Source organism: Homo sapiens, chromosome 2, assembly GCF_000001405.40.
Source record: "Homo sapiens chromosome 2, GRCh38.p14 Primary Assembly".
Taxonomy (NCBI): domain Eukaryota; kingdom Metazoa; phylum Chordata; class Mammalia; order Primates; family Hominidae; genus Homo; species Homo sapiens.
In genome coordinates this window covers 91,592,382-91,607,876 of record NC_000002.12, presented here as the reverse complement: position 1 = coordinate 91,607,876, position 15,495 = coordinate 91,592,382, and the positions used below count along the sequence as shown (strand labels likewise).

Sequence of the window (15,495 nt, the reverse complement as noted above, 5' to 3'; positions counted from 1 at the left end):
AGAATGATCACCGTGGGTCTTACAAGTCCCTGAGTCATGGAAGAAACCTTAATTATGCTCAGTACACATCACTTATGAGAGATTCAGGTTTTGGAAGATTTTCAACAACAGGGGGCTGTCTGGCTGATGCTGACTTTGGTGGGCCTGAAGTTCTTTGGAACCTACACTCCATCTCTGAACACTGTGGACTCTGCAGGTTTCCAAGACATTCCAACATGGCAGAGGGGTCACTCACCTCTCTCAGCACTCACCTGTTGTTATGTTCCCAAAGCCCAGAGTGATGAGCCATTCCTTGTGCTCATTGAGTTGGTGCTTTGACTCATTGAGGACGCCGTTGGCCCACAGAAGCAGGTTGGTGAACACCAAGTGGATCACCCCAAACCTGAAAAACACAAGGACTCAGTTCTCAAGCAGCCCTGGGAGAGCCTCAGGCACCATAGGGTGAGACAGACATGTGCACACAAATACACGGCTCCTTCTCAGCCATGATTCTGGCTACATCATGGATGACCCTTGAGAACTTTATGCTGTGAGAAATAAGCCAGACACAAGAAGACCAATACTGTATGGTTCAATTTATACGAGGCATCTAGAATATTCAAACTCATAAAGACAGAAAGTAGAACAGAGTTTGCCAAAAGCCAGAGGAGGAGGAAATAGAGAGTTGTTTAGTGGGCTCAGAGTTTCAGTTTTGCAAGATGAAAAACGTTTGCAGATTGGTTGTACAACAAGTGAATGTACTTAACATTAATGAACCATATGCTTAAAATGACTAAGATGGTAAATGTTATGTGATTGTCAACCTGAAAAAAAAAGACATTAGAGAAAATTATCGCTAAATATGTTGGATTTACTTGGAAATAGGAATTACAGTCCAGAATGCATGGAATGGCAAGCCACCAGCGCATTCGGTGAGGGAAGGGTAAGGAGGAGCTGTTATTAGCAAAGAGAGATTTACATAATCCACAGAGAAAAAAAGTTCATCGGTTCTAGAGGCTCAAAGCCAGAGTTGTCATCAGTTCATTGGTGGAGATGCCAGTGCTGGACAAGTGTTCTTCCAAGAGCATCTTATCTGCTTTACTGCAGTCCTAATGAATGTCTAGTAATGTCCAACCTCTTCAAAGCAGGAGATGCATGAAGGGTTTTTAGAAAGTCTTTGGAAACACTTTGTATCTCAGACACGTAGACAGAAGTGCCCTCTCCTTAGCGCTTTCCCAGGCCTATTTTGCCTGGGTCTGACAAAAGCGATTTCATCCTGATATCTACGGGTTTTTCAGTATTTGCCACAATTTTAAAATAAATGCTCTGTTTTTTAGAACAGCGCCTAATTGTTATATATACTTTTTTCCATTCGCCAGTCATCTAATGTAGCAAAAGCACATGGTAAGTGTCCAACAGGTATAGAATTATTAATTAATTGACTTGCCTGGCCAATAAAAGGCCTTAAATTAGAAAGCTAGGATCTCCAACCCACCAACTAAGAGGGATATTTTGAAAATTCATATCTGTCCCAGTCATTCTTCTGCCTAAAGCCTTCAGTGGCTCCCCACTGCCCTTGAGGTGAAGCCCAAGCCCCTAGGTGGTGGTCAGCCTTGACCAAGAATTTGCTGCACACCTAGCCCTGTGCCAAGTGCTTTTCATACACATGTGCCTTTAATCTCTACAACGAGCCCATGAAGTAGGTACTGTGATTGTCCTCACCTTGCAAGTAAGACCCATGAGGCCCAGAGAAGTTAAATAATTTTCCTGAAGTCACACAGCTGTGGTCAGAGCCAGAGTCATGCAATCTGACCAGAGTGCAAGCTTACAAGCCCTACACCAAACAGGGATCCAGCCTGTGCCCACACATCCTCCCGCTACCCCACTGTGAGGAAAGACTGCATGTCCCAAAGACACCCTCTTCCAGTGGCCTCTGACCCACTAACCCTGTGCTCCTCCCTCTCTCACAAACGGTTCTGGGACCTTCTCTGGCAGAAATTGACTCTCACCCCAAGCTGCCGAAATGCCCTCCTTTGTGCTCCCTCATTGCTCTGGGACACTCTGGTCAAAGCACTGAGCCCAGCGTTGTCACTGTTTTGGGGACTGCCTCTCACCTAACTGACACCCCCACGGTGTGTGCCACAGACTTTGCAGCCTTGTATTCCCCATGCTGAGAACAATGTTCATCCAGTATTTAAAGATGAACTGCAAGAAAAATAAATGAATGAACGAATGCAGTTCGTTCTGGCCTCACGAAAGCTTTCCACATTGTCACTGTATCACTATAAGGCTCTGTCTTCACGGGATTTGGCTCCCCTGGAATGAGCAGCCAGTTATCTTTGATCAGCTTGGGCTGCCATAACAAAGGACCACAGATCATCAACTTCAATAACAGGAATTTCTCTTCTCAGGGTCCTGGGGCTAGAAATCCAAGATCAAGGTATGGGCAGGGTTGGTTCCTTTTGAGGCCTCTCTCTTTGGCTTGTAGATGGTCAATTTCCTCCAGTGTCTTTACATGGCTGTCTCTCTGTGTGTGTCTGTGTCCTTCTCTCCTCTTGTTATAAAGACACCAGGGCCAGGCGCGGTGCCTCACGCCTGTAATCCCAATACTTTGGGAGGCCGAGGCAGGTGGATTGCCTGAGGTCAGGAGTTCGAGACCAGCCTGGCCAACATGGTGAAACCTCATCTCTACTAAAAATACAAAAATTAGCTGGGCATGGTGGCAGGTGCCTGTAATCCGAGCTACTTGGGAGACTGAGGCAGGAGAATTGCTTGAACCCAGGAGACGGAAGTTGCAGTGAGCCGAGATTATGCCATTGCACTGCAGCCTGGGCAACAAGCAAAATTCCATCTCAAAAACATAAAAAATAAAGACACTAAGCATATTGAATTTGGGCCAGCCTAATGATCTTATTTAACCTCAATCTCCTCTAAACGACCCTATCTCCAAATACAGTCACATGCTCAGGTACTGAGAATGAGGGTTTCAGCATATGAATTTCACAGGGGATATGACTCAGTTCATAAAGCTTTCAAGTGCAAGGCAGCCCCTCCAAATGAGCCCCTCAGCAAGCTCCCCAGTGATCCCACCATGCCACCAGGGAGCTAAACTGTTTCCAGGCTCACTGGGCATGTTCTGTCTGTTAGCTTCACTGTTTGAGAATGTGTTTGATCTAGAGAAACACTCTAAGGTCATCCAGTGCTGTCCGGTAAGTCAGCTGGGGGTACAAGCTGACGGTCACTTTGGATAAAAGATGAAGTTTTAAAAATGTCATCCCTGGTTTTCTAGAGGTAGAAAACTTTCCAAAGAACCTTCTCAAACTGGAAATCCAAAAATATTTCCAGCAATGGCAGTATCACCAGAACAAGTTCATGGTCTTCCAGGGTGACTTGTCAGGAAGAAAATAATCATTGTGTCTCCGCAGTGACTTTGAGCAAGTCACTTGTCTTCTCTGAGCTCCAACTTCTTCGTTAGAAAAAAATGAGGGCAGAGCCTGCCATTTGCAACAACATGGGCAAATCTGGAGGACATTGTGCTCAGTGAAATAAGGCAGACACAGAAAGAAAAATACTGCATAATCTCACTTATATGTGGTATCTAGAAAAATGTTTTTAATCCAATGCATAAAAACAGATGGTAGAAGCTGGGCATGGTGATGTGGGCCTGTAGTCCTAGCTACTAGGGAGACTGAGGCGGGAGGATCACTTGAGCTGAATTCAAGGCTGCAGTGATCCGTGATGGCACCACTGCACTCTACCCTGGGCAACAGAGCAAGACCCTGTCTCTAAAATTGAATTAAATTAATAAATAAAAACAAAATAACATAAAGAGTAGAATGGTAGTTGGAGGGGAAAAATTAGAAGATTTTGGTCAAAGGGTACAAAGTTGCAAATACGTAAGATGAATAATTCTAGAGATGTAATGGACAACGTGAAGACTGTAGTTAATACTATTGTATTGTATACTGGAAATTTGCTAAGAGAATAGATTTTAGGTGCTCTTACCACATCCAAAAAAAGAAAGGCAACTATGTGAGATGACAGACATAAATATGCTTGACTGTAGTAATCACTTCACTATGGATAGGAATATCAAATAATCATGTTGTATACCTTAAACATATACAACAAAAAACAAAAAAAAAATGAGACTGACAATTCAACAATTCAGATCCTGACTCTGATAACATTACCACGGATTTCTGCCAAGGGCGAACACTACCCTGAAAGCCCATCTAACATTCTTTTCAACCATGAGATTTTTCTGACCCTAAGCTATGTATTTAAATTATATTTATCAAATCCTTCCTTCTGAGCCATACCAAGTTTACCAATGCTGTGGGAAAAAATCCTCATACATTTCTAAAAGACTTTAATCCCCAAACAAGAAAACAAAAGCGCTTCCATGACCCAGAGGAGGCATTGTAATGGCACAAGGTTTCTATGTAGGAAGAATATTAAATTTTTTTTAAAAATAAAATTGATTTTGGCAATGGTTGCATAACTCTATGAACAGACTAAACCGTTGAATTCCACATGTTAAATGGCTGAATTATATGCCATGTGAATTCTCTCAATAAACCTGTTACATACCCAGAAAATAAAACTCCCTCAAGCTTTTACTGTAGACCCTGGCTTGGCAGAATTTCCTGACTCTTCATCATTAGAAGTTCTGCCTCATAGGATCCCTGCAAAAATGGCCATGGGGACACAGAGTTTTATTTTGCAATGGAGGCAGCTGAAGAATTAAGCCTCAAAGATAGACTTCAGTTCACCTCAGTTCACTGCAGTTCACAGCTGTGCACACTGTCTCCACTTGCCACATGTCTCGATGTTACAAGTTTCTACACAACCTGGGATACACTCCACAGGAATGAGACAACATGAATAAACATCAGTGGTTTACCTGCAACAAAGTATGCACTGAATGGGTGACAGGGAAAACTCCTTCAGTGGCTGATAAACATTCTGAAAATCCAATGAAGTATCTAATTTTAAGGCATCCCAGGATGATGGTAATGACTGCAAACAATGTGATACTACCTAAATGTGGGATAAAGGGGGAAGTGGAAACACACACATTCCATTAATATACATTGATGTCATTTCAAAATAAATTATATTACATATGAAACCCTTATGTATATGGTCAAATGATTTTTTTCACAAGGGTGCTGAGACCATTCAATGGGAAAAGGGCAGTCTTTTCAACAAATGTGGGAAAACTGGATGTCCACATGCAAACGAATGAATTTGAACCCTCACCTTACAGCATATACAAAAATTAACTCAAAACAGATAAAAGATCTAAACATAAAAGTATAAACCTTGTAAAAGAAGACATGGGAGAAAGCTTCATGACATTGGCTTTGGCAATAATTTCTTGGCTATGACACCAAAAATGCAAGCAACAAAAATTAAAATAAATAAGACGAACTACATGAAAATGAAAAATTTTTGCACATCACAGGATGCTACCAACGAAGTGGAAAGACAGCCCACAGAACTGGAGAAAACATTAGCAAATTATATACCTAATAAGTCATTAATATCCACAATATACAGATTTGTTTACATTAAATACCTCATATAATGAAATCGTACAGTACTGTCCTTTGGTGGTTGAGTTTATTTTACTTAGCATAATGTCCTTATGGCTCATCCATACTGTATCGTGTGTCAGAATTTCCTTCCTTTTTAAGCCGAATAATATTTTGTTGTATGTCTATACCTCACTGTGTTTATCCATCTATCTGTTGATGGATGCTGGGTCGCTTCCACCTTTTGGATACTGAAAATAATGCTGCTATGAGAGAATTTATAGAGAATTCTTATACATTGACAGCAATGGGCTGGGCACAGTGGCTCGCACCTGTAATCCCAGCACTTTGGGAGGCCGAGGAGGGTGAATAACTTGAGGGCAGAAATTGGAGACCAGTCCGGCCAATGTGGTGAAACCTGTCTCTACTAATAATACAAAAATTAGCCTGGTATGGTGGTGCATGCCTATATTCCCAGCTACTTGGGATGCTGAGGCAGGAGAATCCCTTGAACCAGGGAGGCAGAGGTTGCAGTGAGCCGAGATCATGCCATGGCACTCCTGGGCAACAAGAGCGAAACTCTGTCTCCAAAAATCGATCAATCAACAATGACAAAAGCCAATTTAAAAATTGGCAAAGGACTTGAATAAACATATCTCCAAAGAAGACATAAAGATGGCCAGCAAGTACATGAAAAGATGTTCACCATCACTAATTATTAGAGAGATGCAAATCAAAACTACAAAATACTTTCACACTATCAGGATGGCTACTATCAAAAAAAAAAAAAAAGAAAATAATAGAAAATAACCAGCATTGGTGAGGATATAGAGAAATAGTGCTCTGTTGGTAGGAATGTAAATTGGTACAGCTACTACTGAAAACAGTAGGGAGGGCCTTCAAAAAATTGAAAATACTATTATGGCATGATCTGGCATTTTCACTTCTGAGTATATACCCAAAAGAATGGAAAGCAGGGACCTGAGGGGATATCTGTATTCTCCTGTTCATAGCAGCATTATTTTCAGTATCCAAAAGGTGGAAGCAACCCAACATCCATCAACAGATGGATGGATAAACACAATGAGGTATAGACATACAACAGAATATTATTCAGCTTAAAAAGGAAGGAAATTCTGACACACGATACAGTATGGATGAGCCATGAGGACATTATGCTAAGTAAAATAAACTCAACCACCAAAGGACAATACTGTAGGATTTCATTATATGAGGTATCAAACGTAAGCAAATTCATAGACAGAAATAGAATGGTGGTTGCCAGGTGCTAGAGGGAGGGAAGAATGAAGAGTTAGTGTTTAATGAGGACAGAGTTTCAGTTTTGCGAGATGAAAAAGTTCTGGAGGTTGGTTGCACAACAGTGCATATGTGCTTAACACCACTGAGCTGTGCACTTGAAAACTGCTAAGTTGGTAAATTTTATGTATATAAATGCATGTTTTACCATAATTAAAAATATATTAATAAAATAAATTCTAGCCCAGGCATGGTGGCTCATGCCTGTAATTCCAGCACTTTGGGAGGCCAAGGCGGGAGGATCACTTGAGGCCAAGAGCCTAAGCAACCCCATCTCTACCCAAAAATAACATAATAATTATTTCTAAATAAATAAACAAATTCTACTGTTGAGCTGCGAAGGTAAAACTAGAAGGCAGGTGTTGTGTCCTGTTCATCATTGTACCCACCCCATAGCCTAGAGTCTGACAAATGATACACAATCAACGAAGCCTGGTGCAGTCAACAGAATGCTCCCAGAAGCTTTTTCAAAAAGGAGAAATCTAAGAATGTCACTGCTCTACTCAAAAATCTCAATTCTCTAATCCTAAAATCCTGTTCTCTAAAGAATAAGAGTGCAGCTGGCCGGGTGCAGTGGCTCACATATGTAATCCCAGCACTTTGGGAGGCCGAGGTGGGTGGATCACCTGAGGTTGGGAGTTCGAGACCAGCCTGACCAACATGGAGAAACCCCATCTCTACTAAAAAATACAAAAGTAGCGGGTGTGGTGGTGCATGCCTGTAATCCTGCTACACCGGAGGCTGAGGCAGGAGAATCACTTGAACCCGGGAGGTGGAGGTTGCAGTGAGCCGAGATTGCATGATTGCATTCCAGCCAGGGCAACAAGAGTGAAACTCTGTCTCAAAATATATATATATTAATAAGAAATAATAAGAAATAAGAGTGCAGAGTGTGCAGGTCATACAGGTATACAGGAATTCTCTGAACTGTCTTTGCAACTTTTCCATAAATCTAAAGCTTTTCTAAAATGGAAAGTTTATTTATTTATTTATTTGAGACAGGGTCTTGTTCTGTCGCCCAGGCTGGAGTGCAGTGGCACGATCTTGGCTCACTGCAACCTCCACCTCCCAGGTTCAAGTGATTCTTGTGCCTCAACCTCAATCCCAAGTACCTGGGATTACAGGTGTGCTGGTCAGGCTGGTCTTAAACTCCTGGCCTCAAGTGCTCCGCCTGTCTCAGCCTCCCAAAGTGCTGGGATTACAGGCATGAGTCACTGAGCCTGGCTGAAAGTATATTAGAAAAAAAAAAATAGATGGGTAAGGGCTCTATAGTAGTAGCTGAGGAAGGGCCTGTGCTAGGTGTACTGAGGAAAGGAAGCAATCTTTGATATTATAATGAGCATGGCTGCCCAAAATATAAAGACAAACTAATAAAAAATTTGCATATAAAAAAGACTGGAAAGGAATGTACAAAATACATTAAAAAGACACTTGGTGACAAATGAAGAAATTAGTGAGAAAAAGGCAATGATCATGAGTGCTTGATCAAGTCAGAGTTCCTCATCTCCCTCCTGGGCTAGCATTGACTGCCATTTACACATTTGCTCCTACCAACAGGAGGAAACTGGATCATGTATGACATGCATTAAGGCACTGAGCAGAGAGGAGGGCATGAGCCATAACATTGGGCTATAACGTTACAGCCCCAGCCTGAGAAGCCTCCTCTGAAAAGTAATGCAATCGCCTGGCACTTTTCCACCGCTCAAAGCCTTATAGAAACAACTCTAACTCACATTTTTAATCCTGAAAACACCCCAATGAAATCGGAAACTTTGTAAGAGTGGAGATTCAATCCCAGTGCTTTGAAATGTTTTGACAAATACGTGGTTGGTTTTAATTACAAAAAACATAGCAAGATCAGGTGAGGCAGCGTGGCTGAGTGGCAAGAGTACAGGCCTGAAAGTACGGAGACCTGGACACTCACAGAATACATGAGTCACTTCCTGCTCCCAGCCTCAGGATTCCCATACAGAAAATGCAGATGGTCTACAGCAGTGGTTCTCAAACTGGAAACTGCATCAGAATCACCTGCAGGGCTTGTTAAAACACAAATTCCTGGGCTCCACCTCCAGAGTTTCTGATTTAGTAGGTCTGGGTGGTGCCCCAAAATTTTCATCTCTAACAAGTTTTCAAGTGGGGCTGCCACTGTTGATCTAGGCTCCGCTTTGAAAACTACTGGTCTAGACCATCTCTGTGGTTGACATGCCAAGCGTTCAATAATATACTCTTTAAGTCCTCCCTTTCTTCCTGTGTTCATCCATTCATCCATGGATTCATTCAGCCAGTTGTTTATACAACAAACACCTTAGGGACTCCTACGATGCATGAGACATTGTGCCAAGGGCTCAAAGACAGACATAGGAGATTGCTGTAGAAACAAAAATATGCGAGTATAATATTGCATAAATTGGGGTGTGCACAAAATATCAGAGAGATGAGCTGGCAACAGACTTCCTCTGTGCAGCCTGGGAAACCAGAAGACAGTGGAGGAATGTGCCACAAGGAAAGGACTGCACCTCAAAAACCTTATTCTCAGCTAAGATGTCGCCCATGTGTCAGGGCAAAAGGCAGAATGATGTTTGAAGTATACAAAATGTAATTTTTTCAACAGCTATTTATTGAGCAGCAACCATGGGCCAGGCATTGTCCCAGGCACTGAAGATATAAAGGTCAATAAAATAGAGTATCTGCCCTTGAGGAGTTTCACATCTAGTGGGGAAGGCAAAAAATTAACCGGTAAATAGTAAACACATAAAGAATGTCAGGAAGTGCTAAGTGCATGAAGAAAAGTAAAGCAGAAAAGGGGACTGAGGTTGAAGGTACATGGGCAGGAAAGGAGGTGATTGTTGAACAGAGAACAGAGAAAACTGTCATCCACATAACTTGTCTGACAAAGGACTTTAACCAAGGAGCTTGTGAACTGGAAGAGAGTCCCCAAAAGAGGGGAAGATGAGGAGGAGAGCAAATTATAGTGACCAATCAACTCTGTGGAAGGCTAGAGGAGGGTGGAGGTATAATGGATGGAGAGACAGATGGAGATAGATAATTAGATTAATAGGAGAGAAAAGAAGAACTTAAATTCAAATGGATAAACTGCCTGAGATGTGTAACTTACATGCCCTATAAAGACTTGTCATACAGAATAGACATTTTGAGGCTAAATTCTATTAACTATCTCTACAAAACCCATAAGTTCGGCCAAGCACAGTGGCTCACACCTGTAATCCCAGCGCTTTGGGAGGCCGAGGCAGATGGATCACCTTTGGTCAGGAGTTCGAGATGAGCCTGGCCAACATGCTGAAACCCCGTCTTTACTAAAAATACAAAAATTAGTCTGGCGTGGTGGCAAGCATCTGTAGTCCCTGCTACTTGGGAGGCTGGGGCAGGAGAATGGTGTGAACCCAAGAGGCAGAGGTTGCAGTCAACCGAGATTGTGCCATTGCACTCCAGCATGGGTGACAGAGCGAGACTCCATCTGAAACAAAACAAAACAAAACAAAACAAAACAACAACAACAACAACAACAAAAAACCTAAGTTGGAAAAGGACTGGATAGGGAACAAAGAAAAACCTTTGAAAGCCCTCAAGGTAAATAAATGGAAAAGGAGAGGGAAGAAGGGAAAGGAATAGGGAGGCAAACGTATCCTAAAGATCTCATCCCATTAGGTAGAGAGGAAGTGGGAGCAGTGAACATCTTGGAGTGGGACACAGTGTGGCTTGCTGAGGGAAATGTTCAATATTTTGTTTTCAAATAAGAAAGAAGTAATAGGCAGCTGGGCGCGGTGTCTCACACCTGTAATCCCAGCACTTTGGGAGGCCAAGATGGGCGGAACACTTAAGGTCAGGAGTTCAAGACCAGCCAGGCCAAGATGGTGAAACCCTGTCTCTACCACAAACACAAGAAATTAGCCCAGTGTGGTGATGGGCACCTGTAGTCCCAGCTACTTTGGAGGCTGAGGCAGGAGAATCGCTTGAACCTGGGAGGCGGAGGTTGCAGTGAGCCGAGATCATGCCACTGCACTCCAGCCTGGGCAACAAAGTGAGACTCCGGCTCAAAAAAAAAGAATGAAGTAATATGCATCAGATTATGAGAGTGAGGGAAGAAAAAAATGGCCATGAATGGAATAAAAAATCAGAATAAATTTTCAAATGCTCAAAAAAGGCAAATGTGGAAGAGGAAAAGGAAGAAATAGGAATGTAAAATATATCATCATAAACATCGAAAAGAAAAATGGAAACAAAAAAGTCAACCACATAAATTATTTCTATAAATTAGAATGATCTAAATCCTCCCACTAAGGAGTAAGCAAGAATAGGAAAATTGAATTAAAAACAAAACCTAGTTACATGATCTTTACACAAATTGCATCTTTAACAAAGTAATAAAGGTTTAAAATAAAGTAGTGGACAAAGAGGAATCAGGCAATGCAAACAAAAAGAAAGTTGGAATGGCAATATTAATATCAGACCATACGGGATTTAAAGTTAATGTATTAAGTAGGATAAAGAATCCTTCCTCTTTTATCACTACATATAATAAAAGACAGACTGTCCGGTGTGGTGGCTCACGCCTGTAATCCCAGCACTTTGGGAGGCCGAGGTGGGCGAATCACAAGGTCAGGAGATCGAGACCATCCTGGCTAACACGATGAAACCCCGTCTCTACTAAAAATACAAAAAAATAGCCGGGCGTGGTGGGGGGTACCTGTATTCCCAGCTACTTGGTAGGCTGAAGCAGGAGAATGGCATGAATCCAGGAGGCAGAGCTTGCAGTGAGCCAAGATCGCGCCACTGCACTCCAGCCTGGGCAACAGAGCGAGACTCTGTCTCAAAAAAAAAAAAACAAAAAACAAAAAACACAAAGACTGTATGAGGAAGCTATAACAGCCACACATGTGCCCAAATAAAACAGATTTTGATTTATATAAACACATATATATGTATAAATATATATATACAAGTATATATATACACATATACATAGATAAGTATATATACACATATACATATATATTTATGCATGTATAAATATATATACATATATAATTTCGCAATTACTTAACTTACCTTTGCCTCAGTTTCCCCATCTCTAAGATGTAATGACAGTAATAACACCTATCTCATAGGGGTGCTGAGGAGATTAAGTGAGTCATTACATGGAAGTCACCTAGAACAGTGTTCCTTACCTAGAAAGTTCTATAAGCGGGATGTTATTATCATCACTCAATCGCCAAGAAAATGTTGATGCATTAGAACCAATTAGAAAGTTTACCAGCTACAATACTTGAGAATAATCCAAAGACTACATAGGGTACCCATCTAGTGATGGCAGAGGGAACCCCCTCCTCTTTGTTAGGCACCCAAATCCCTCCTAGGAGTCTAGAATCTTGAACCCCCCCTCTTAGAGGCGGAAAGTCCCACAGAGTTAGTCTGCATTCTATCCCATGCAAGAATGCTTTCCAATGCATCATGACCGGCAGCCATCTGATCTCTACTTGGACAAGCCCAGGGCTGGGAGGCTCAACATCTCTCAAAGCGCACCCTTCCATCACCAGCTGGTACTTACTTTATTTGTGTTTTATTTTTATTTTATTTTAATTTATTTTATTTTATTTCATTGAGATGGAGTCTCACTCTGTTGTTCAGGCTGGAGTGCAGTGGCATGATCTTGGCTCACTGCAAACTCTGCCTCCTGGTTTCAAGCAATTCTCCTGCCTCAGCCTCCCGAGTAGCTGGGATTACAGGCACTCCACATAGCGAGACCCCTGTCTCTACAAAAATCAATTTTTAAAAAATGAGCCAGGCGTGGTAGCACACACCTGTAGTCCCAGCTATTTGGGAGGCTGAGGCGGGAGGAGCACTTGAGCCCCAGAGTTCGAGGCTGTAGTGAGCTATTATCACACCACTTCATTCCAGCCTGGGAGACATAGGGAGACCCTGTCCTTATTAAAAGATAAAAATAAAATAAAGAAAGAAAGAAGACTGTGCAGGTGTTGCCCCCTCCCTGAACCTTGCAGCCTTCCTACAGACTTGGGCTCCTCCCAGGCCCCTGGTGGTAGCCCTGCTCAAGGGTGCTGTGCTGCTTACTCTGTCCCCACCCCCAAGCTCCTAGAAGTTGAGGGCTAAGTCTCACAGGTCACGCTCCCCAACTTTCCAGTGAGGGCTCATTAGCTGTTTGTTTATTGCTGTTTCTCTACCTGAACATCAGCTCCACCTGAGCAGAGCCTTTCATAGCTGAAACCCCAGCACCTAGAACAGAGACCAGCAAATGATTCATAATTTGCTGTGTCCCACCATGCCCAGCTTTTTGTATTTTTAGTGGAGACGGGGTTTCACCATGTTGGCCAGGCTGGTCTCAAACTCCTGACCTCAGGTGATCTGCCCACCTCAGCCTCCCAAAGTGCTGGGATTACAGGCGTGAGCCACCACGCATGGCCTGGTGCTTACTTTAGAATGTTTTTCTTTATATTGAAGTGCAGTTGACTTCCCAGAACTATCATCTTCTTCCCTGGAGCTTCTATCATCATTCACTTATTCATCCACCCATCTAGTCATCCATCCATCCACCCAATCATTCAATCATTCAATTATTCAGTAGCTACGAATTGGCATTTACTACATGTTAGGCACTGTGCCAGGAGCTCGGGATACAATGGTAAGCACATTCAGACAGGGTCTCTGCCTTTAGGGGCTCAGTCTGGCTACCCCAACAGTCACTGAATAATACAATATCCTGCTTGATTAGTGCTAGAAAGAAAATGAAGAGTGCTATGAGACCATACAACATGGGGGCTGCCCCTGGTCTGAAACTATCGGGAGAGGCTTCCCAGAGGAAATGACTCTTACTTGCTGAAAGACAGAGGATGGCCTGGAGCTGACAGGTGCAAGGCAGCAGCACTTTCTACCCTGTGACCTCCGCATCCTTCTCTCTTCTGGACTGAACCTCCTTTTGCTCCTCCTGCCGCCACTCTTTCCAAGGGCCTGTGAAATGCTCAAGGAGGATGAGACCCTCCACACACAGTCTGATTTCCTTTCCAATGAAAGCCAAGCCTGCATCTGATTTTTTGGCAGCCACATTCGCTTGTTTGTGTTGAAATCGTGACACTATGTCTATATTTTCCATTGGACCAGAAATATCATCTAAGAAAAGAAATAAGTAAGAAAACGCATGCAGTTAAGCAAGACCCTCATAGTGGCCCCAGAATGGATCTTGAGGATCACTGGTCTTTTTCCTGAGGGACTTGCCCTCTGCCTATTGATCTAAGATTGTCACCAACACCAGGGCAGAGCTGAGTTCCCGGGTCAAACCTGTCTTTCCAGCTAGAATTCCAGAGGAAACCCCAGTCCCTGTTGGGGCTGAAGGTGCTTCCTTTTGGCATCGGGGCCTCTCGACACTAATAATTAGCTTCTTGCTTCTTTGAGGAACCCACAGGAATGGCCAGGGCTTTGCAAACTGCTTCTCTCAACATCCCCCAGCTCCTCCCAGAGAGTCGACTGGGATTCTTATCTTACTGATGAGGAAAGCAGAACTCAGAAAGGTGAAGGTGACAGAGCTGAGACCTCAAGCCAAGCCCTCCAGAGCCAACACCATTTCCATGATACACACACCTCACTTGAATTACATTATTATGGGGCAACTCACTGAATGTCTAAACAGCTACCACCTACTGAACACCTATCACGTGCTCTCTCTACCTTGCCCATTTATTCCCTCTCTACTTAGTGTCCCAAAGACACCTCAAATGTAGCATGTCCATAAGAGAACTGTAACATGTCATTGGTTTTGTGTCCCCACCCTGCTCTTCCCTTTGGCTTCCCAATCTTGGGAAATGGTGCAACCATTCACCCATAGACTCAGGCGCCAATGCTCGGAGTCAACCTGAAAGGAGGCAGAGAGAGAGGAAGAACAAAAAAACACAGATGGATGGATGGACAGATGGATGGATGGATGGATGGATGGATGGATGGATGGATGATGAATAAGTGTGGATGGGTGGATGGATGCATGGTGGATAAATAAGTGAATGATGATAGAAGCTCCAGGGAAGAGGATGATGGTTCTGGGAAGTTAACTGCACTTCAATATAAAGAAGAGCATTCCTTGGATAAGGATAGACTGAGTAGAAAAAAGAAGAAAGAGGAAGAAGAAGAAGAAGAGGGAGGAGGAGGGGGAAGGGGAGGGTAGGAAGGGGGAAGGGAGGGGGAGGGAGAGGGGGAGAAGGAGAGGAGAAGGAGAAGGAGGAACATTCTAAATGCACCAGGCTGGGCGTGGTGTCTCATGCCTGTAATCCCAGCACTTTGGGAGGCAAAGGCAGGCGGATAACCTGAGCTCAGGAGTTTGAGACCAACTGGGCCAACATGGTGAAACACTGTCTCTACTAAAAAATACAAAAATTAGCCGGGTGTGGTGACATGTGCACCTGTAGTCCCAGCTAATCAGGAGGCTGAGGCAGGAGAATCACTTGAACCCAGGAAATGGAGGTTGCAGTGACCCATGATCTAGCCACTGCACTCCAGCCTTGGCAACAGAGTGAGATTCCATCTCAAAAACAAAAACAAAAACAGCAGGGGAGAGAGGAAGAGAGGAAGGAAGAGAAAGAGAGGAGAGAGGGAAGAGGGATAGTGGAGGGAAGGCTAGAGGAAGGAAGAGAGGAAGGAA

The 15,495-nt window shown here is 43.2% G+C and overlaps 1 pseudogene, besides 1 other annotated feature; it reads right to left on the bottom strand.

Moving 5' to 3' along the window:
- LOC388996 (otopetrin 1 pseudogene) overlaps positions 1–15,495 on the bottom strand; it is a 32,073-nt pseudogene that overhangs the window by 13,625 nt on the left and 2,953 nt on the right.
- Positions 12,845–13,010: a silencer, noted in NCBI's record as "fragment chr2:91782891-91783056 (GRCh37/hg19 assembly coordinates)". NCBI's record gives its function as "represses an EF-1alpha promoter that drives an FKBP-Casp9 reporter gene in an ReSE screen in HepG2 liver carcinoma cells {active_cell/tissue: HepG2}" and the evidence as "EXISTENCE:reporter gene assay evidence [ECO:0000049][PMID:32094911]".